At 40.5% G+C, this 23,005-nt stretch overlaps 1 long non-coding RNA gene across 1 annotated transcript in view; it reads left to right on the forward strand.

Annotated features, from left to right (window-relative positions):
- The window catches only part of LOC105379547 (paraneoplastic antigen Ma6E-like), a 31,917-nt gene extending 10,076 nt beyond the window's left edge, over positions 1–21,841 (forward strand). The window contains exon 6 of the long non-coding RNA XR_005647093.2: positions 20,424–21,841. This is a non-coding gene — a long non-coding RNA (paraneoplastic antigen Ma6E-like). The remainder of the gene's footprint in view (positions 1–20,423) is intronic.
- Positions 21,842–23,005: the final 1,164 nt, after the last annotated feature.

The raw sequence follows: 23,005 nt of genomic DNA on the forward strand, positions 1-23,005 counted from the left end.
GTGGCCCCGGCCCCGCCCTGCCTGTGCCCTGTTCTATCCTGGGCTGGCCCTGCCATGGCCTGGTCTTGCCATTGGCCTGCCCTAGCCTGCCCTGCTTGTGCCCTAGATCTGCCCCGGCCTTTGCCCCTGTCTTGGTTCCAGCCTTGACTCAGCCCTGGACCTTCCCTGACCTTGCCTCAGCCCTGGCACTACCCTGGCCTTGGCTTGGCATTTGCCCTACTCTCTCTATGGCCTGGCTCTGGTCCTGCCCTGCTCTGCTCTTGTTCTGTCCTGGCACAGCCCTGGCCCTGCCGTATCACTGGCTCTGGTCCTGCCCTTATGCAGGCCTGCCCCTGCCCCTGCCTTGGCTTTGGCCTGGACCTTGGCCGTACAGTGACCCTGCCATGACCCTTTCCTGGCCCTGGCCTGGAACTTGGCCCTGCCAAGGACTCGCCCTGGCTCTGTCATGGCCCTGGCCCTTTCCTGGATTTGGATGTGTCCTGTCCCTTATTTGCCCCGGCCCTTCCCTGGCTCTGCCATACCCCTTCTCTGGGGTAGGGCCAGGGTCAGGACCAGGGTAGGGCCATGGTAAGGCCTGAAGATGGGAAGGGCCGGGGCAGCGGCAGGACCAGGGAAGGGTCAGGGCCAGTGATGTGGTAGGACTAGGGGCAGAGCCGGCACTAGGGCTGAGCCGGGGCAGAGCAGGAGAGATTACATTAGGCTATCACATAAAATTTTTATTTTAGATTTTTAAGATAACTATAGTAGTGGTAATAATGTCTATACTATGTTGTTTGTAATAGTAATAATATTTGCAGTAAATAATCACTAAATTTTAACTAATACTATCTTTGCTTCCAGTAGTGTTCTATGAGTACAATTTTATCAATATGTAAATATGTGAGGCATTGATTCTCACAATAATTCTAGGTGCTAGGTACTTAAAGCATCCCCATTTTCCAAATGTAGGAAACAGGCATAAAGAAGTTAAATACTTGGCCAGATTACTCCTGTAATCCCAGCACTTTGGGAGGCCAAGGCAGGCAAATGGCTTGAGCTCAGGAGTTTGGAACCAGCCTGGGCAACATTGTGAAACCCCATCTCTACTAAAAATGCACAAAAAGAGCTGATTTAAGTTTCTTATAGGATTCTGGTTATAAAACACTGGTCAAACACACAGGGCATGGATAGGGCAGGGCCAGGGACAAGGTCAGGTCAGGAAGGGGCCAGGGCCAAGGCAGGGCCAGAGCTGGACTTGGAGGTGTCCTGGTCTGATTTGCCCTGTCCCAACGTTGGCCCAGCCCTGCTCTGGCACTTCCTGTCATGCCCTGTCCCTGGTCTGAGCATTGGCCCTGGCCCTGTCCTGCTTCTGGCCCTGCCCCAGAGTTGACCAGGCACTGCCATGGCCCAGTCCTGCATTGCCCTGCCCTTTTCTGCCCTGGTGCTGCCATGGCCCTGCTTGGGCCCTAGCTCTGCCTCGACTCTGGACCTGCCCTGACTCTGCTCAGCCCTGGATCTACCCTGACTCTGCCTTGGTGTTGCCCTCCCATCTCTATGGCCTGGCTCTGGCCCTGCCTTGCACAGGCCATGCTCTGCCCTGCATGTCCCAGCCTGGGCCCAGCCCTTGCCCTACCATATTTCTGACCCCACCCGTACCCTTGTTCTGGCCTTGACCCTGCCGTGGCATTCTCCTGGCCCTTCCTTGGTCCTGCCCTGCCCTTCCATGCCCTGGCCTTTCCCTCACCCTGCACTGGTCCTGCCCTGCCCTGGCAGTGCCTTGGCCCTGGCCCTGCCTTCTCCCTGGCCTTGCCCTTTCCCTGCCCTGGCCTGACCCCAGGCCTACCGAGTCCATGAAATGACCCTGGACCTGCCTTGCCATCATCTGTCCTGGCCCTGTATTGTCCCCACCATGCTCTGGTCCAGCGCTTACCCTGGCCCTGTTGCTAGTCCTGCCACTGCTATGGCCCTGCCCTGTTTTTGGCCATGACCTGTGCTACCCTAGCCCTGCCCCGCCTTGGCCTTGGCCCTACCGTGGCCTTTTCCTACCCTGGCCTGGCCGTACACTGGCCATTTCTACCCTGGCCTTGCCCTTCCCTGGTCTTGCCCTGCCCTGGCCTTGCCCTGCCCTGGCCTTGGCTTTGCCTTATCCTGGTCCTGGTTCTGCCCTGGCCCTGCCCTTTCTCTGGATCCTCTCTGGTTCTGCCTTCTCCCTGGCCCTGCCCTTGCTCTGGCCCTGTTCCTGGCTCAGCCTTGACCCTGGCCCTGGCCCTGACAATCCCCAGGCCGCACACTGGCCATGCTTGGCCCTGGCCCCTCCTTTGGCCCTGCCCTGGCCCTGTGCTATCTTAGTACAGGGCCTTGGCCTTGGCCCTGTGCTATCTTAGTCCTGCCCTGGCCCTGAACTTGCCCTGGCCCTACCCTCACCCTACACTGGCCCTGCCCTGGCCCTGCCTTTGGACTGCCCTGGCTCTGGTTCTGCCATGGCCTTGCCCTTGCCCTGGACCCTCCCTGGCCATGTTTTTACTGTGGTCCTTCTCTGGCCTTGCCCTTGCCCTTTCCCCTTTCTGGTCCTGCCATGTTTCTGGCCCTGCCCTGTCCATGTCCTGGACCTGACTCTGGCCCTGGACCTCCCTGTCCCTGCCCTGCCATACCCTGGCCCGTTTCTTGCTCTACACTGACCCTGCCCTGCCTTGGCCCTGTGCTACCCTAGCCCTGCCCTGGCCTTCTGCTGGCCCTGATCCTGCCATGGCCCTGGCCCTGCCCCTGCCATGTCCCTGCCCTGGCCCTGGTTCTGCCCTACTTCTGGCCCTGGCCTTGGTCCTCTTATGTCCCTGGCTGTGACCCTGCCCCTGGTTTTTCTCTGGCCATGACCCTGCCCCGGTTCTGTCCTATCCCTGGCCCTGTCTCAGTTCTGTCCTAGCCCTGGCCTTTCACAGTACTTTATGCTTAGTAAGGGCTCCATAGTGTCTGTGAGTTGAATGTTGTGTTCATAGTATCTGCCAAAACAGAAAGAAAAAAAACAAAATCTGAAGATGAGAAGTTAAAGCTTTGTATATAATATGCCTTGAATTGTAAGTGCTTGTTATTAGTTGTATTACATGTAGGTCATGGTTTTGTACACATAACTCCAAACCATTGATACTGTTAAAAGAATATATGAATATATGAAAGAATATATAAACGTAAGAATGTATGAGTATCTAATGACCTCTCCAAACTAATTTTTATTTTTAGCTCTATTAGATTTTTTCTCAGTGTAACAAATGTTTATTCCTATGTAATTAAGGGCATATTTCCTGTACAGAATATTCATATTACTTAATTGAAAATTATATAATGCAAAAATATAATACTATTTTTAGGCCAGGCATGGTGGCTCATACCTGTAATCCCAACATTTTGAGAGGCCAAGTTTGGAGAATCATTTGAGTCCAGGAGTTGACCAGCCTGGGCAACATATTGAGACCTTTTCTTTATTAAATAAATAAATAAGTAAATAAATAGGATGGGCACTGTGGCTCATATCTGTGATCCCAGCATTTTGGGTTGCGAAGGCAGGAGGATTGCTTGAGCCCAGGAGTTTGAGACCAGCCTGGGCAGCATAGCAAGACTCCATCTCTACAAATAATAAAATATTAACCAGGTGTGGTGGTGCGCACCTGGGGTCCCAGCTACCTGGGAGGCTAAGGTGGGAGGTTTGCTTGAGGCTGCAGTGAACTGTGAATGCACCACTGCATTCCAGCCTAGGCCACAGAACAGGACCTTGTCTACCAATAAATAAGTAAAAATATAAATAAAAATAAGTAAAAAGAAATATAAGTAAATATAAATATAAATACATATAAATATAAAAATGAATACATGAAAACAATTTTTAAATTTAACATCACTGAGGGCATCCTATCCATTTCATTTCATGATTCCATTACATCATTTCACTTAGATGAAGTGATAAGGTTACTTGAGATGAGATGAAATGATGAGATGAAATGATGAAATGATGAGATGAAATGATGAGATGAAATTTTGAGATGAAATGATGAGTAGAAATGATGAGATGAAATGATGAGATAAAATGACAAAATTGAAAAGAAATTGAAAGGAGATGAGATGACATGAAATGAGATGAGGGATGAAATGATGAGATGAAACGAGATGAAATGATGAGAAGAAATGAAATGAAATAATGAAATGAAATGATATGAAATAATGAAATTGAGATGAGATGAGATGATATAATGAGATAAAATGATGAGATGAAATGAGATGAACGATAAGATGAAATGATGAAATAAGATGAGATGATAAGATGAAATGATGAGATGAAATGAGATGAAAAATGAGATGAAATAATGAAATGAGATGAAATCAAATAATGAAAGGAAATTATGAAATGTAATGATGAAATAATGAAATGGCAATGATGAGATGAGAAGAAATGATGAGATGAAATGATGAAATGATGAGATGAGATGAAATGATGAGATGAAATGAGATTAAATGATGAGATTAAATGATGAGATGTGATGAAATGAGATGAAATGATGACATGAAATCAGATGAAATAATGAGATGAAATGATGAGATGAAATGATGAGATGAGATGAAATGAGATGAGATGAAATGTGATGAGATGAAATGACATAATGAAATGAAATAATGAAATGAAATGATGAAATGGAATAATGAAATGGAAATGATGAGATGAGATGCAATGAGTTGAAATGATGAGATGAAATGAGATGAAATGATGAGATGAAAAGATGAGGAGACGAGATGTGATGAAATGATGACATGAAATGACATAAAATGAGATGAAATAAGATGTAATGAATGAAATGAGATGAAATGATGAGATGAGATGAAATGGTGAGATAAAGTGATGATATGAAATGATGATATGAAATGATCAGATGAATGATAAGAGGAGATGATGAGATGAAATGATGAGATGAAATGAAATGAAATGAAATAATGAGATGAATGATATGAAATAATGAAATAAAATGAAATAAAATTGAAATGAGATGAGATGAAATAAGATGAAATGATGAAATAAAATGATGAAATGATGAGATGTGATGAGATGAAATGATGAGATGACATGACATGAAATAATGAAATGAAATAATGAAATGAAATTGAGAAGATACGAGATGAGATGAAATGATGAGATGAAATGATGAAATGATAAGATGAAATGAGTTGATGAGATGATGAGATGAAATGATGAGATGAAATTAGATGAAATGAAATTAGATGAAATGTAATGAGATGAAATGAAATGACATAATGAAATGAAAAAATGAAATGAAATAATGAAATGAGGTGAAATTAAATGAGATGATGAAATTAAGTGATGAAATAATGAAATGGAAATGAAATGGAAATGATGAGATGAGACGAAATGATGAGATGAATGATGAGATGCAATGATGAGATGAAATGATGAGGTGAGATGTAATGATGAGATGTAATGAAATGAGATGAAATGAATGAGATGAAATGAAATAATGAAAGGAAATTGAATTGAGATGAGATGAGATGAAATGATGAGATAAAATGAGATGAAATAAGAAATGATGAGATGAGATGAAATGATGAGATGAAATGAGATTAAATGATGAGATGAGATGTGATGAAATGAGATGAAATGATGACATGATATGATGACATGAAATCAGATGAAATAATGAGATGAAAGATGAAATGATGAGATGAGATGAAATGTGATGAGATGAAATGACATAATGAAATGAAATAATGAAATGAAATGATGAAATGGAATGATGAAATGGAATGATGAAATGGAAATCATGAGATGAGATGCAATGAGTTGAAATGAGATGAAATGATGAGATGAAAAGATGAGATGAGACGAGATGTGATGAAATGATGACATGAAATGACATAAAATGAGATGAAATAAGATGTAATGATGAAATGAGATGAAATGATGAGATGAGATGAAATGAAATGGTGAGATAAAATAATGAGATGAAATGATGAGGTGAATGATGAGATGAAATGAGATAAGAGGAGACGATGAGATGAAATGATGAGATGAAATGATGAGATGAAATGAAATGAAATAATGAAATAATGAGATGAAATGATATGAAATAATGAAATAAAATGAAATTGAAATAAAATTGAAATGAGATGAGATGAAATAATAAGATGAAATGAAATAAAATGATGAAATGATGAGATGTGATGAGATGAAATGATGAGATGACATGACATGAAATAATGAAATGAAATAATGAAATGAAATTGAAATGAGATGAGAAGATATAAGATGAGATGAAATGATGAAATGATAAGATGAAATGAGTTGATGAGATGATGAGATGAAATGATGAGATGAAAAGAGATGAAATGAGATGAAATTAGATGAAATGAAATTAGATGAAATGTAATGAGATGAAATGAAATGACATAATGAAATGAAATAATGAAATGAGGTGAAATTAAATGAGATGATGAAATTAAATGATGAAATGAAATAATGAAATGGAAATGGAAATGATGAGATGAGATGAAATGATGAGATGAATGATGAGATGCAATGATGAGATGAAATGATGAGATGAGATGAGATGTAATGATGAGATGTAATGAAATGAGATGAAATGAATGAGATGAAATGAAATAATGAAGGAAATTGAAATGAGATGAAATGAGATAAAATGAGATGAAATAAGAAATGATGAGATGAAATGATGAAATGCTGAGGTGAGATGAGGTGAAAGGAGATGAAATGAAAGGATGAGATGAAATGATGAGATGAGATGAAATGAGATGAGGTGAGATGAGATGAAATGAGATGAAATGATGAAATGCTGAGGTGAGATGAGGTGAAAGGAGATGAAATGAAAGGATGAGATGAAATGATGAGATGAGATGAAATGAGATGAGGTGAGATGAGATGAAATGAGATGAAATGATGAAATGATGAGATGAAATGAGGTAAGATGAGATGAAATGATGAGATGAGATGAAATGAAATAAAGTGAAATGAAATGAAATAATGAAATTGAGATGAGACGAAATGAGTTAAACTGATGAGATGAAATGATGAGAAGAAATGAGATGAAATGATGAAATGATGAGATATGATGAGATGAAATGATGAGATAAAAATGATGAGATGAAATGAGATGAATTGAAATGAGATGAAATGAAATAATGAAATAATGAAATGAGATGAAATGAGGAAATGATATTGAAATGAAATTGAAAGATGAGATGAGATGAAATGATGAAATGAAGAGATGTGGTGAGATGAAATGATGAGCTGAAATGATGAGACGAAATGAAATGAGATTAAATGAGATGAAAAATGATGAGATGAAATGATGAGATGAAATGAGATGAGATGAATTGAGATGAGATGAGATGAAATAATGAGATTAGGTGAAATAATGAAATGAGATGAAATGAAATAATGAAATTGAAATGAGATGAGAAGAAATGATGAGATGAAATGTTGAAAGGAGGAAATGATGAGATGAGATGAAATGATGAGATGAAATGAATTGAGATGAAATGATGAGATGAAAAATGATATGAAAAATGATGAGATGAAATGAGATGATATGAAGTGACATAATGAAATTAGATGAAATTAAATGAAATAGTGAAATGAAATAATGAAAATGAAATGGAAATGAGATGAGATTTGATGAAATGATGAGATGATATGATGAGATAAAATGAGATGAAATGATGAGATGAAATGATGAAATGAGATGAAATGATGAGGTGAAGTGATGCACTGTCACGTGTGTGTCTATTCTTTTTCCCAACCAACAAAAATTACAATTCATTTTAATTTTATTATTTAAGAATATTCTTAAGAGTTGAAGGAAAAATAATATCTACATTATGGGTTACAATCTAAGTATAAATAATACATAAATATATTAAAACTTACAAAGAATATGTTTTGGAATCAAATATACCATGCTTCTGTGATGACAGTTATTTCATGCTGGTTGTCACAATTTTACATGAAAAACTAATGAAAAAGTGTTTTTAACTGTTTCTAAAAATGTTTCCAAAAGAGTTTTACATTCGAAATATGAAAAAGATGTCTTTGCGTTCCTTAATCTGATGAGATTTTCACACTCTGCACATGATAATTGTTAGATTTTTATTGTGTTGATAAATTGTATATCAAATAAAAAATGTTATTACCTCTTAAATTAGGATTTTTAGGTGATATAGGCAGAAAGGAAGGCAAGTTTTTATAACTTTGTCTAAATGAACTTTCTAAATGCCTGAGTATTAAAAGATAACGTCTATAAATCACAATGTATATATTACTGTATGACCTAGGACCAATCAAAACCGTTACCTCTGATAACATTATATTGTGCCCAATATAAAATAGATATAATAATACCTCAAACATAAATCCAGGCATTGTCATTGAATATCTTAAGAATATGCAGCAAAGGTGCTTTTAAAAATACAAGCTAGTGATTGTACTAAATTTGTAAATTACATAGGATAGTGGGTCATTTTAAGAATATTAGTTATTTCAATCTATAAACGTGGATGTCTTTTTTGTGTTTTCTTTAATTTCTTTCATTAATATTCGTCATTTTTGTTGTAGAAATCTTTTACTTCCTTGGTTAAATTTATTTCTAAGTACATTTTTGTAGCTATTGTAAAAGGAATTGCTTTCTTAATTTCTTGTTTCAGCTAGTTTACTATCAATATATAGAAATGCTACTGATTTTTGTATGTTGATTTATATCCTGCAACTTTATTAATTTCATGTATCACCCTAAGAAGCTTTTGGTAGCATCTTATTTTTTTCCGTGTATAAGATCACATTGTCTTTAAACAAGGACAATTTGACTGTCTCCTTTCCAATTCAGATATCCTGTATTTCTTTCTCTCACCTAATTGTCCTGGCTAAGACTTTCACTATGTGAAATATGATTGGTGAAAATAGGCATCCTTTTCTTGTTACAGTAAAATCTTTTTCTTGTTCACAGTAAAATCTTTCACCTTTTCCACACTCAGTATGATCTTAGCTGTAGATTTGTCCTTTATGTCCTTCTGTGTTAAGGCATATATTTTCTACACTAAATTGTTAAGAGGTTTTTTGTCATGTAAGAATATTTAATTTTGCCAAATGCTTTTATTGTGTTTATTAATTTGATCATATGGTTTTCAGTATATATCCAAAGGAAAGAAAATCAGTATATCAAAGAGTTACCTGCACCTGCATGTTTATTACAACACTATTCACAATAGCCAAGATATGGAATCAACAAAAGTGTCCATCAACAGATGAATGGATAAAGAAATGTGACATACATATATAATGGAATATTGTTTAGTCATAATAAAGAACAAAATCCTGTTATTTGTGGCAACAAGAATGCAAGTGGAGGGCACTATGTTAGGTGAAATAAGCCTGGCATAGAAACATAAACACCACATAACTACGTGTTCTCACTTATGTATGGAAGCTAAAATTTTTAATCTCGTAGAAGTAGATAGTAGAGTTTTGGTTACCATATCCTGGAAAGAGTAGGAGAAAGAAGAGTATAAGAAAAATGTGGTTAATACATACAAAATTACAGGTGGAGAGAAGGAAGAAGTTCTAGTTCTCTACAGCACTGTTGGGTGACTGTAGTTAACGGGAATTTATTGTGTGTTTTCAAATAACTAAAATAAAAGATTTTGAATATTCTCACTGAAAAGAAATAATACATGATTTAGGTAATGGATGTGATAATGACTGTGACTTGATCTTTATGCATTGCATAAATATATCAAAATATCACTCTGTACCCCATAACATGTACATTTATTATATGTCAAAGTAAATTTAAAAGAGAAAAAATGAGGTAAAGGTAAATGTACAGAATTTAATTACTTTTTCTTCTATAAAACCCAAGAGTCAGTACCAAGAAGAGTCAATTTATTAGTTTTCTAAAATAAAAAAAATCAAAGTCGCCAAAAAAGAGCAATATCCAAGAAAACATTGAAAATGAAACACAACGTTTAGTAAGAATAGAAAACTTGGGCACTGTATCACCCTGTTCCTAGATACCGATTTACTGATAGCAATTTAAATAGAATTTTATTCTATCTAATTCGTTTATACTCCCAGAGTTCGAAATTACATTTTACCTACAATAAATGAGATAACACTTGCAAATTATATGGTACTCTGCCTAACACACGTTAATAACTCAATACATGTTAGCAATAAACTTTTAGTATAGTAGTCAAAGTATTAATTTCTCACATTGCAAAGTTGCTTCAAAGACATGAATACAACCTTTCTAATGACTCCTCGTTCATCAAGATACCTCTTCAAATTATTCTATTTCTTTCATTCAGTGTATTATCTGTGTATACCGATATGATATTACACTCTTTTTTTTTTTTTTTTTTTTTGAGATGGAATCTCATTCTGTTACTGATGCTGGAGTGAGGTGGCATGATCTCGATTCACTGCAACCTCCACCTCCCAGGTTCAAGCGATTCTCCTGTCTCAGCCCCCCAAGTAGCTAGGACTACAGGTGCACACCACCATGCCTGGCTAATTTTTGTATTTTTAGTACAGTCAGAGTTTCACCCTGTTGTCCAGGCTGGTCTCGAACTCCTGACCTCAGGTGATCCACCCACCATGGTCTCCCAAAGTGCTGGGATTACAGGCATAAGCCACCGCACCCAGCCTGATATTGCACTCTTGGATTTTGAACACTGAATATCTTTTTGAGAGATTACACCTCTTTACCTCTTTGTGCTTCAGAAATTATCTTCCTTCAAGTGTTCTAAGAGTCTAATGAAGAATGAAGTCATGTTTTATCACTTTTGTCCTTAAAGATTTCAGACATGCTGAAACTGATTGAAGTATCATTTGCTACCAGATAGATTAATTATCTCTAGTTGTAGGAGTGGATACATCTTTAATGGTATATTTTGGGTTATTGTCTTATTTTTGATGCAGTGTTCTATAAATAATTTATTAAACCTGGCATCCTTGGGTGAGCCTGGATTTTTCAACTTTGGTGTTATATTGTGTTTGCTTTTAAAAACTGCTTTTGAGGCCGGGTATGGTGGCTCTTGCCCATACCCAGCACTTTGGGAGGCCAAGGTGGGCGGATTACCTCAGGTCAGGAGTTCAAGACCAGCCTGGTCAACATGGCAAAACCATGTCTCTACTGAAAACACAAAATTAGCCAGGCATGGTGGTACATGCTTGTAGTCCTAACCACTCAGGAGGCTGAGGCAAGACAATCACCTGAACCTGGGAGGCAAAGGTTGCTAGGTTGCTGTGAGCCAAGTTTGCACCATTGCACTCCAGCCTGGGTGAAAAGAGCAAAACTCTGTCTCAAAAAAAAAAAAAAAAAAAAACCACCAAAAACTGCTTTTGAATGGAGTTGTACATACAATCTTTATGAAAAAAAATATCAAGTGCATAAGTTCATAATAGAAAAACCAATAATACTCCAGGCACAAGTTAGTACTAAAAAAGTTATGTTGAATATTCTCTAATACAACATGCTTTTTCCCTTCATGAACGACTTGTGTTTTACTGAGAAGAGTCATTGTTTATGGTAGACATTAGACTACAGATGAATATGTACTTTAAACACTCTTAGTTGCTTTCGTAATTTTATATCTGCTGCTTTATGCTTCTGTTTATTTTCATTCTTTCCAATGTCCACATTCTAGTAAATTTGAATATTTTAATCCAAGTTTATATACTATTTAATATTGCTTGTATAGTTTAGTATTTTTAAGACTCAAAAAGGTTTACAGAAAGAAGAAAAAGATCAACATGTTATTAATCATTTAAAGATCATTTTAAAATCTTTGACCTTTATATTTTAATGAATAAAATGTTGGTAGTTATTAGTATAAAATAATTTATGTCTTTTGGACTTAGCATCCAGTATTTCTTTTTTAATAAAGAAAATAATTATTCTCTTGCAATATACTACGTTTATCTGGGTTTTGAAAAATGATGTTTCCTAATATGAGAAAGCCATTTACATTTTTAAATCTACAAAGGCAAATGGAATGGTACTAAATTATTTACATAATAATGTTTAGGTGGTGGCCCTTATAACATTCTTTCTATACTTCCTACAGAGTTGGGGATATGCAATCCTAGAATATTTCTGGGAGCTAATCCTTTAGCTTGATGAATGAAACAAGACTTTTAAATAAAATTAAACTTTCAAATTATCCAGGTAATGGGCCTGTCTTTTAATTCAATGGATATGGAGCATAATGAATTATCCCCTGTTCATTGGGTAATAAGTTCTCATTCTTAACTTCTAATACTCAAAATGTCCTTTAATTTTTAATTTTCAATAGTCATATCATTATCCCTAGGTATTTTAGCTTCTATCTTAAATTCTAAAATAATTTTGAAACAGGAGAAAGTATTCTTTATTACTATATGTATTAAACATCATGGTTTTCAAATTTAACTGCAAATGTATCTTTTCATTGCTTCTTGGTGACGCCCTTCACCCTATCCATATTGTCACTACCAAGTGGTGATTACTTTTCAGGTTCACATACTTGTTCTTTAGAAAAATCTTCCCTGTGCCTTATAAAAAATATGATTGTTGGCATTCAAAAGCCAGCGAAGTATACATTATTAGCCTGTTGCCTAACTCATTTCTTTAAGAAACTACACTAATTACCCACATACTTATGTTTTTATTTCCTCATTATTTCTGGAGAAAACAAATACTGCTAACATGATATTTGTAAGAGAGAAAAAAGTCTTTTCTTGAAAAGTGCTGTCATTGTAGTACTAACTTATAGTATCAACTTCTTTATCAACTCCTTATACACTTTTTATTCTGAGAGAAATAAAAAAGCTAAAAGTGAAATGACTTTTTTTACTCTCCATATTATAAGCACCCATCTTGGTAATTTAGGGTCTTTATAGTTAGGGTAAGTTGTGTCATACCGAGGTTACAAAATAATAAGTATTTTGTCTCTTTGGGCCTTTCCTTATTCAGTAATACTGTCAGTTTGGCTTTTTTTCTAGGTCAACTTATTGATCTCAGTATTCTGAAATAATATGTTTACTACCTTTTGATAAGCATTTAAAATATTAGATTTATTGTTACTCTTCTGCCTTCATTGGGCTGGAAGAATAATTGTTTCTCTCACTCCACAAAAGCCAAGTTGCAGAGAAAAACACATAGACATTCAACTGCAAAGCAGAGAAACTTGACTATTTCCTGCAATTTTAAAGTGTATATTGAATAAAACCATCTTTTTATTTTCTTTTTTGCTCACTGGCAAATATTAACAACATCAAGTGTGTTATTATAATGTTATCTAGTTAAAAATCTCAAAAAGTTTTCATAATTACCATTTAAAAATATATAAATAGGTGACCTAATGTTAATTTGTATTGTCTGAGACCATGTCTGTTATTTCACTCTTTAAATTCAGTTAGTCATGCAGAACCTAGCACTTAGTGGATACTCAAAAATTATTTGCTGGATAAAAAAAAGGTTAAACATGTAATATATACAAAATGTACTAGAAAAAATGCACCAAACAATTTTGTTATAGCAGTTTAATGTAGAATATTGCCTTTAAAAGATAATATAGTTTTCAGGTGTCTACAGTGATTTTGTAATATTTGTGCACATATAAAATAATATTTCCAAAAATGTAATCCAGTGAGGAAATATACTTTCTAAATTCTAGATTTATAATTTAGGGTTTAAATTATAAAATCATTAAGACACAAGTGAAATATAGTCAAATATCCCCTTGGAAAAAAATTAAGTGGCCTCTAAAGTGAGGTATTCATATATGTAATTTTACAATCCTCTAGTGATAGAATTAATTAAATACACCACCAAATTGATTAATTCCTACAGTGTTAAAAGAGAAGCACTAATAATGCCAGTGACCATGTAACATGGATTAAGCTACAAGTCATAGAAATGTGATGAGAAGCCTCAGCGCTGTAAAACAGAGGGTGGAGGAAAGCTTTTCCTCTCTCAAATGAGATTTGCCAAGTATACTTCTTGAAGAATAGGAAGTTGAAGTGTTCAGGACTTTTATGACTATTCTACTTTGGCTTAGTTTACATGATTCTTAGTTTATTAGCCTAGAAATGGCCAAGAAAACTTAAGGCTCAATAATTAGTTATAAATATGAAATATCCCCAATTTTTAAGATAAAAACAACTTATAAATGTATTTGTCTGTAAAAATTGTGTATATTTTTACAGAACATCTATTTCTTTCTTTTTTTATTTTTTTATTATACTTTAAATTCTAGGGTACACATGCACAATGTGCAGGTTTGTTGCATATGAATACATGTGCCATGTTGGTGTGCTGCACCCATTAACTCATCATTTATATTAGGCATATCTCCTAATGCTATCCCTCCCCCCTCCCCCCACCCCACAACAGGCCCTGGTGTGTGATGTTCCCCTTCCTGTGTCCAAGTGTTCTCATTGTTCAATTCCCATCTATGAGTGAGAACATGCGGTGTTTGGTTTTTTGTCCTTGTGATAGTTTGCTAAGAATGATGGTTTCCAGCTTCATCCATGTCCCTGCAAAGGATATGAACTCATCATTTTTTATGGCTGCATAGTATTCCATGGTGTATATGTGCCACATTTTCTTAATCCAGTCTATCGTTTTTGGACATTTGGGTTTGTTCCAAGTCTTTGCTATTGTGAGTAGTGCCACAATAAACATACGTGTGCATGTGTCTTTATAGCAGCATGATTTATAATCCTTTGGGTATATACCCAGTAGTGGGATGGCTGGGTCAAATGGTATTTCTAGTTCTAGATCCCTGAGGAATGGCCACACTGTCTTCCACAATGGTTGAACTAGTTTACAGTCCCACCAACAGTGTGAAAGTGTTCCTATTTCTCCACATCCTCGGCAGCACCTGTTGTTTCCTGACTTTTTAATGATCGCCATTCTAACTGGTGTGAGATGGTATCTCATTGTGGTTTTGATTTGCATTTCTCTGATGGGTCTATTTATTTAAAACAAAGGGAGGGAAGTCTCATTTACATTCGTTTTTTTCATAGCCTTTTGAACTTTGCAATTTCTATGTTTCAGAACCTATTTCTTACAGTTTTTCTATGCTAAACTCTGTCCTGGTCAGTTCTAGAGTGTATGAAGAACCAAATGATGTAACTGTATGCGACCTGGCTGTAGTGGAACAAATTTGACTCTTAAGTATGCAGGCTCTAATTTTCCTGTCTGGTTTTGGTAAGTATTCCTTACACAGGTTTTTTTCTTTGAAAATCTGGGATTGAGAGGTTGATGAATGAAAATTAATCCTTTCACTTTGTTGTGTATAGGTTTGCAATAATTAGGTCAGAGTGGAGTTTTAAGGTCATGGAGGGGGCTGATGACTTACAAATAATGGCCTCTGATTGGGCAACTACTCATCTGAGTTCCTTCCACTTGACCTAATTAAGCTTGTGAAATTTACACTAAGCCATGAGTTCATCTTTAAAAAGTTTTATTAAAAGATTTTCAGCTGTTCCAAATAGGACTTATTGGTGGAATGTGTTTTAAAGGATCATATCAGATGAATGAAAGGTATTTGATCCTTTGTTTCCTTAATAATAAAATGATGGTTTGGAAAAATAGGCTAGAGTCTAACCACAGTGCTATTATTAAGGCTTTCTTGTTAAACATAGGTCTAAGCCTAAGTATGTCAATACAACAAATACTTAGTGTTTCATTTCTAGTAATAAAAAAATAAAGTCTTTCTGGCATAAGGATGATTTTCATCTGGTTATTTTGAAACATTTTTGTAAAATAAATTTCCATCTATAAAGAACATTTTTAATTTGTAAGGAGGGGTATGTCTCTGTGCACTGGAAGAGAGGGAGGACTAAATCACTGGGAAGTCTTATGATAAAGAAGCCATTGGCTTAAATCAGCAAAGCAAGCCATCCTTTGGTTTAAGGTGTTTTTCCTGGCCATCCTGTCTTGACTAGAACTTTACCTACACCTTCCTTTTTGGTTTAGGCAAATTATCATATCTCAACCTGAAGTCTCAGCTCTGTGTCTTTGAGATATAAATGTTCTACCACGTCTTCTCTGGAACCTGATAACTATCTATCTCTTTAAAATGCAAGTCTAGGGAGATGACTCATCAGAAAAAGAAGAAAAAAGAGGTATTTGGAAATTGTGCAAATTAAAGCAGCCCCTGATGCCAAAGTCTACACATTCCTGAGTGAGTCAGTTCTGGCCAGTTCTAGCTGGATCAAGAGAGCTCTGCTGGGCAAGCCTGAAGAGCACCTGGATGGCAGACACCTGAGGAGCCAGGTGCCTGAAACTTCCTCCACCTGGTTGAGGAGCGCTAAAGCCCAGGTGCTGGCTGGACAACCCCTTCTGGTTGCCTAAGCAGGTGGCAGAAGAAGGAAACAAGGTCAGAGGCAGAGTGTTGAACCCTGCCTCCCAGGTGGGTGGAAGATGCCTGTCGCCAAACTAGGGCCCAGCTTGCCGGGTGAGATGGGTGAACTGGTGATCCCCCGAGAGAGTGGACGTCAGAACTACATGGTCCTGGACCTCACCTCGGCCAGCGAAGGAGAGAGAGGGTTAATGTTAACTGCACGAGGCCCACTCTAGCCTTAAATTCTGAAATTCAAACCCTTCCCTTGGAGACAAAACAAACATGACAAGGAATTCTGACATCAGGGGACAAGAATCACAAGTTCCCTAGTGGGAGACTGAGGAGGCAGTGTCCTTCCTGCCCTTGGTCTACTGGCTAAGAACCTTCCTCAGCCTGACCTTTCCACATTGCACTTCCAGCTCTGTTTGCAATTTTCCTCCTTTAGTGCTGAGGGAATCCCAGTGTTCGATCCTGAAATCTATAGGTTCCTAATGGGTGGTTAAAAAAAACCTCAGCGAGAGAAGCAGAAAATGTTTCCTCTTCCTGAAAAACTGTAGAAAGGCAGGCACCATTCTGGGTGAGGACATGGTCCTTGCAAATGTCTTTGTGTTTTGTTTTGTTTTTTTATTTTGAGATGAAGTTTTGCTCTTGTTGCCCAGACTGGAGTGCAGTGGTGTGACCTCTGCTCATTGCAACCTCCGCCTCCTGGGTTCAAGCAATTCTCCTACCTCAGCCTCCTGAGTAGCTGGAATTACAGGCACCTGACACCACACCTGGCTAATTTTTTGTATTTTTAGTAGAGATGGGGTTTTGCCATGTTGGCCATGTTGGTCTCTTAACTCCTGACCTCAAGTGAGCCACCCGCTTCTGCCTCCCAAAGTGCTGGGATTACAGGAGTGAGCCACCGTGTCCCACTGTGAGTGAGTGAGCCACGGCAAAAGTCTTTAAAGACAGCATGTTTCAGAGGCTGTGACGGTGCCCTGTGAACATGCCAAATCTCGCAGTCCCGGGAGCTCTGAGGAGCAGGCCCAGCTCCTTGCCAGGCTGATGGTACTGAAACTCTGCTCTCCAAGACATAACCTGATGGCCGTGCAAGATTTCTTAATTGACTGTGGACCGTGAGAGTCTGCATCTCATTTTAATTAAGACAGGAAAAGAAAGAACAAAAGAGCAACTCCCAGGTTATAGAGAGACTGGATTTTAGTATAATATTCAAGTGTAGCATTGCTAATAATAACAAACCTTTCCCCTCCCAAACGGTAAACACTTGCACTGCCTATTATACAAAAATTCAGCCATCCTCTCTGTTCCCCCGATATCTCCTCCCCAGTGACCCCCCTCTCATGCGGCCTCATGAGCCTGGCCAGTGGTGAATGGCGCTTTCATGGGCATGAGACTCCACGTGAGTGGGACTCAGCTGGGACCCCTCTCCACGTGGGAGCTGGAGAAGCCACCCTAGTACCAGCTTAAAGTGTCCGTGATGTCCCTGCTGCTGAGGTAGGGGCCGCCTCTGAGCTGGTCTCGGGGTGTGAGCTGCTGCTGGTAGTGGGCTCTGCCCTGAGGGCCTGGTGGCTGGTCGGAAGGGCAGGCACACATGGGTGACTCCCCAGGATCTCAGGCCACCTCCCCACCACAGTCCTGCACTGTGTGTTCCAGGCATGTGCTGAGTGCCTGGTCAATCACCAGTGCCCTATTGATCCCCGTCTCCAGAGAGATCATTTAGCGTCACTCCACAGAGGGGGAAACTGAGGCCCAGAGAAGTAAGGTGACTCTCCCCAGTCACAGGTCTGGTCAGGAGTAGGATGGGAGGCTAGTCCCTTGCTGTCTGACTCCCTGAGCCCACCCATATCCCAAGGCAGCCAACCTCTGCCCGCCCTGGCTCAGGCCCCGACTGGCCCCTGTGGTGGGTGATGTCTATCTTCCTGGCCTTTGTGCTCCCAGCCAACTGGGATGGAGCCTCCAGCTGGCATGATAGGTTGTAGCTACGGACAGAAGAGTGGCTGTGAGGCTGCCAGGAATCTCACCAGGGCCCCCTCCCAGGGCCTGTCCAGAGTGAGGTCTGGGTACCCCAGGCATTGCCAGACCACAGGATCTGATGTTGGCCAAGAGGCTATGGCCACAGGCTTTCTGAGGCTGGCCCCCAGGGAGAGTTCAATCCTACTGTCCCAATTCCTGCCCTGGCCTTACCTCTCAGTCTCACCGAGTCGCTTCATGGTCCCAAACCAGGACCCAAAGTGCTGCTTGGGCTTAAGGTTGTAATTATTTGCAGCCAACTGGAGCAGCGGACCTCCTTGCTTACTTTGAATTCCTGGGTCCAGAGGGAAAAACTGGGTGGTGACAGGGACTGGACAGGGATGCCACAGGGGCCCTGTGGGGGTGTTAGGTGGGGTGGTGGCCAGTCTTTGCTCATAGGGGACCCCCTCCTCCTCTCCAGTCCTGTCCCCACCTGTTCTCAGAGCTGGCTCAAGCAGCAGCTCCTCCAGGAAGGTGTCCTTGGTTTCAACCTGGTACTCCCACCTGCAGGTCTTCCTGGAGTGTCTCCTCTTTGTCTGTCTCCCCATAAATCTAAGACGAGGGGGATGGATTTGCCCACGGCTACTCACCGTATGACTCTTGTGCGGTTGATCTGTCTCCCATGCAAGGCCAACAGCTGAAGTCCATCAGAAAGGGTCCTCTGGCCCAGAGCCAGCCCCTGCCCACCCCTGTCATGCTGCACCCAGGGTGCAAGACCCAGATCAGGTCTGGGTGACAGGAGGGGTATAGAGGGGCTGAGGCTCAGGGGCCTTCTAGCCTAACTTGTCTGGAGACAGTTGGGGAAACTGAGACCCCAAGCAGGGAGGTATGGCTCCGAGAGATTATTCTCATTAACCTGGAACACTTTTGCAAGCTGTTAGGTGTAGGAAGTCTGTCACAGGTAAGAGGAATGCTTTTTGAGAGCATGAGAGACAGCAGGGTTGTGACAATATTGAAACACCACTGTGCAGATTCACCAATTGCCACCACCAGGAGCCCCCTGAGAGTCATTGCAGATGCACAGCCCTCCCCTGCAACCCCTGGACCTCCCCATGGTCTGGCACCTAAAGAGTTATGACTCATGGCAGGAATCAGGGCCCTCAGGATGCCCTGCCCACTCCAAGGTTTGCCTCTGCTCTGATTGGTCACTGCCATTCAGATTGTCACCCAAATATAAGGACGTTAGCAGAAAGACTCATTCAATACAAGTGGACTCAGACATAGATAGGATTTGGGTTGCAAAAAGCCCCTTTTGTTCTTTTATTTTATTTTGGAAAAAACTGTTATTGTGAAAATTCACACATATATATAGAAAAAAACTCAATCAATGCAAAAGGATAGACAATGAACAAATGAATTCCCCTTCCACTCCAGATCCGCACCTCAGATCCAGACCTCCTGAGCCCACTTCCCCCATCTCATCACAGATCCAGACCTCCTGAGCCCACTTTCCCCATCTCATCACAGATCCAGACCTCCTGAGCCCACTTTCCCCATCTCATCACCAGTGATTTCTTGGGCTCTGCATTAGTTTTCTATTGCTGCTGCAACAAACAGCTACAGACTCAGTGGCTTCCATTTCTGTCTTATAGTTCTGGTTGCCAAAATTCCTAAGAGGATCTCACTGGGCTAAAATCAAGGTGCCAGCGGGGCTATGTCCCTTCTGGAGGCTTAAGGGATGAATCGGCTCCCTGCCTTTTCTAGCTTCTAGGGGCTCCAGCTTCTAGGTTTGTGGCCTTCTTTCTCTATCCTCAAAGCCAGCAACAGCAGGTGAAGTCCTCGCCCATCGTGCATCACTCTCCCTTCTGCCTCCTTCAACTTTTTTTTTTTTTTTGTATTTAGGGGGAACGAGTACAGGATTCTCACATAGTCAAAAAGCTCCTTATAGAGAAGCTCGGAACTTTGAATACAGCTTTGCCTTTTTTGCCATTTTAATTTTCCATTTAATTTAAATGTATTCTCTCATTTGACCTTCATACTCTGTGGAGAAATATTTCTATTTCGGCTTGTATTGACAAGCTGTTTTCACACAGCCCCCGCATCACCCAACCAACCAGCAGAGATCCTCATTCCCATGAAACAGATAAAGAAACTGAGGCCCAGGGAGGCTAAGTCCTGCCAGGATCATTCACCTTCCAAGGTAAGGAGCCATTTCCAGACCTGGGTTTGTGCAGCTCCAAGCTCCCCCGTCTTTCTACAATGCTAGATTTAGACTATAGCAATCTAGCAAGTGTGGCCACACAATGGTCAAGTTGGATTTAGATGATGTTCTCTATAAATCCATTCTCCTCTCCCGTGTAAGCAAGGCAAAGTACTCTAGGCCATGGGGAGTCCCTGAAGACTCGATGAACTGCAGTGGCCACGTCAGGAGGTTGCAGGTTGACCAGAACTCACCGACACAGCAGGAGAGCAGCTTGGAACCTGCAACTCAGCCAAGACCCAGTGCCTTGGATTGAGGGAGAAAACATGCAGCCATTCCTCTCTCTCTCTGTTGGCTAGAGGGGATTCTGGCTTTTCCTGCCAGAGCCACCCCTTTCCCTCCTCCTAAAGTTGATGGTGGTTCTTTAAGGAAAGGGAGAAGTGCACGGTGTGATAGGGCAGGAAGAGAAGAAAACGGAGGAGAGGAGGGGACTTTCCCATAAGCAGGCAGAAGAAAAGGCAGCTGTGGTGTGTGATCGACATGGAAGCAGTGGTGTCCAATGTGGGGTCAGCCCTAGAGGAGAGACAGAGAGAGAGACAGAAAAGTGAGAGAGTCCTGACCCTTACGATTAACATGGGATCTGCCTGCAAGTGCTGTTTAGGGCCATCGCCTCTTCCTGTACTGCTATTTTTGAGAGTGATGCTCCTGAGCCCCATGACCCAGTCAAATTTGATGTCCCCTTGAGCCAGATTCAGTGCTGGGAGTCCAGTGTGATCTGCCTGGATCTTGCTGCATTGAGAACAGGCCAGATCTTGACACCAATACAGGGGGCTGGATATGAACAGGCAACAGCTGGGTTTCTGAGTCAGAAAGACTTGGTTAATTGCTAATTGCTTAGGCGAGTAATTCAATTTTGTTCAGTCAGATTCCTCAGCTATAAAATGCAGATGACAGTACTTATTCCTCCAGGTTGTGGGGAAAATGGAGATTCTGAGCACGATGTCCATTTCACAGAAAGGTACCAATTTGGTGGCTTATTTTCCTTTCTACCTTCAGAAGTGGCTAACCCTGCCACCCAAACAGACCCTTGACTCTCAAGTGGATGGGGTCCCATTTGCACAGGGGGAGAGCTTACAGCCTACGTTGAGTCTATACTTACCACTTAGTGAGCATGGTATCCGCTCAGGGGCCTCTGTGGGCATCCGTCTCCTCTGCGGCATCTTTCCTCCCCACCGCTGGGCCTGCACATGACCCCCTCCTTGGGTTAGGCCTCTGATCAGTGATGACCTTGGTATGGTGGTGATGGTCAGTCTTGGCACCAAATGAGCCAGTTTATATCATCAGCTATTCAATAAAACACTAATCTAGGTGTCACCATGAAAGTATTTTGTGACATTGTTATGTACGTGTTGTTACAAATGTGCATGATGCATTTACTACAGCACAGAATTTTGCCTGGGTGCCAGCCTGAAGTCTGTCCGACAGATCATAGCCATGTTAGTCCCACAGTCACAGGGGCCAATGGATTAAATTATTTTATCTCCCTTGAGAACTAAAAATAAAATCCTAAGCCCCCCACCCGACTTAGCAGACCCCCTTTTGGCCAATGGAACCTCAAATCTTAAAATTCAGTTCTTGGCCATGACAGGACAGGAGGTCAGACATACCTCCCTGTACCTCATTCCCTCTTATGGTTTAGACCCAATGACTGAACAGCATTAATGTTAAAATAGAGATCATGAGACTGACAGAACAGACTCTTTGTGGCAATAAGACCCCAAATTATAAACAGGACCTAGGGCCATGCCAGGCGAGGGTTAAGTCTTGTCCCCTACTCTTAAAGCATAAACTAGATTCTAACTACCACATGGTTTTTATTTTTCTCTAGCAGCCAAGCAAGCACTGGCTGTGACAGAAGCAAGATTAAAACAGTTACAACTCACCCAGTTCACAGATGCTGAGTAACTGATCTCCTGCCCCACCAACCTTAATGACAGCTTTCACTGGACAAGGGACTGATTTCAATAACTTTCTCCTGATAAGAGACCATCCTCCAGGGACTGGTTCTGGCCAGTTTTAGAGGCTGTGCCTTTACAGAGGCTGAGTACCTTCATGTCCCTGCTTCACTTTCTGATGTGTAGGGCCTAATTATAATACATTTAAATGTCAAGTCTCCACCCCAGAATGAACATGCATGTTTATTGAATATGCATCTGTTACGTCCTCTCTTATGAGTATTCTCATAAAATGATATAGCTCCTCTGATATCCTATTGAGTATGTATATGTAGCCAACTCATTCGGCTCAAATTCCTGTCCTCTCCTTCCTCACTGGAAATGCCTGCCTCTGGCCTTGGCTGTAGGCCACACTTCCCAGCCTGTCATAAGGGCCACCTTGCAGGCTGCAAACCTTTATAAGAAATAAAGATCTCTTTTCTAAGTTTATAAAATAGTGTGATTTTTCAGTCAATGCTCT

This window comes from Homo sapiens (genome assembly GCF_000001405.40).
Source record: "Homo sapiens chromosome 16 unlocalized genomic scaffold, GRCh38.p14 Primary Assembly HSCHR16_RANDOM_CTG1".
Lineage (NCBI taxonomy): Eukaryota > Metazoa > Chordata > Mammalia > Primates > Hominidae > Homo > Homo sapiens.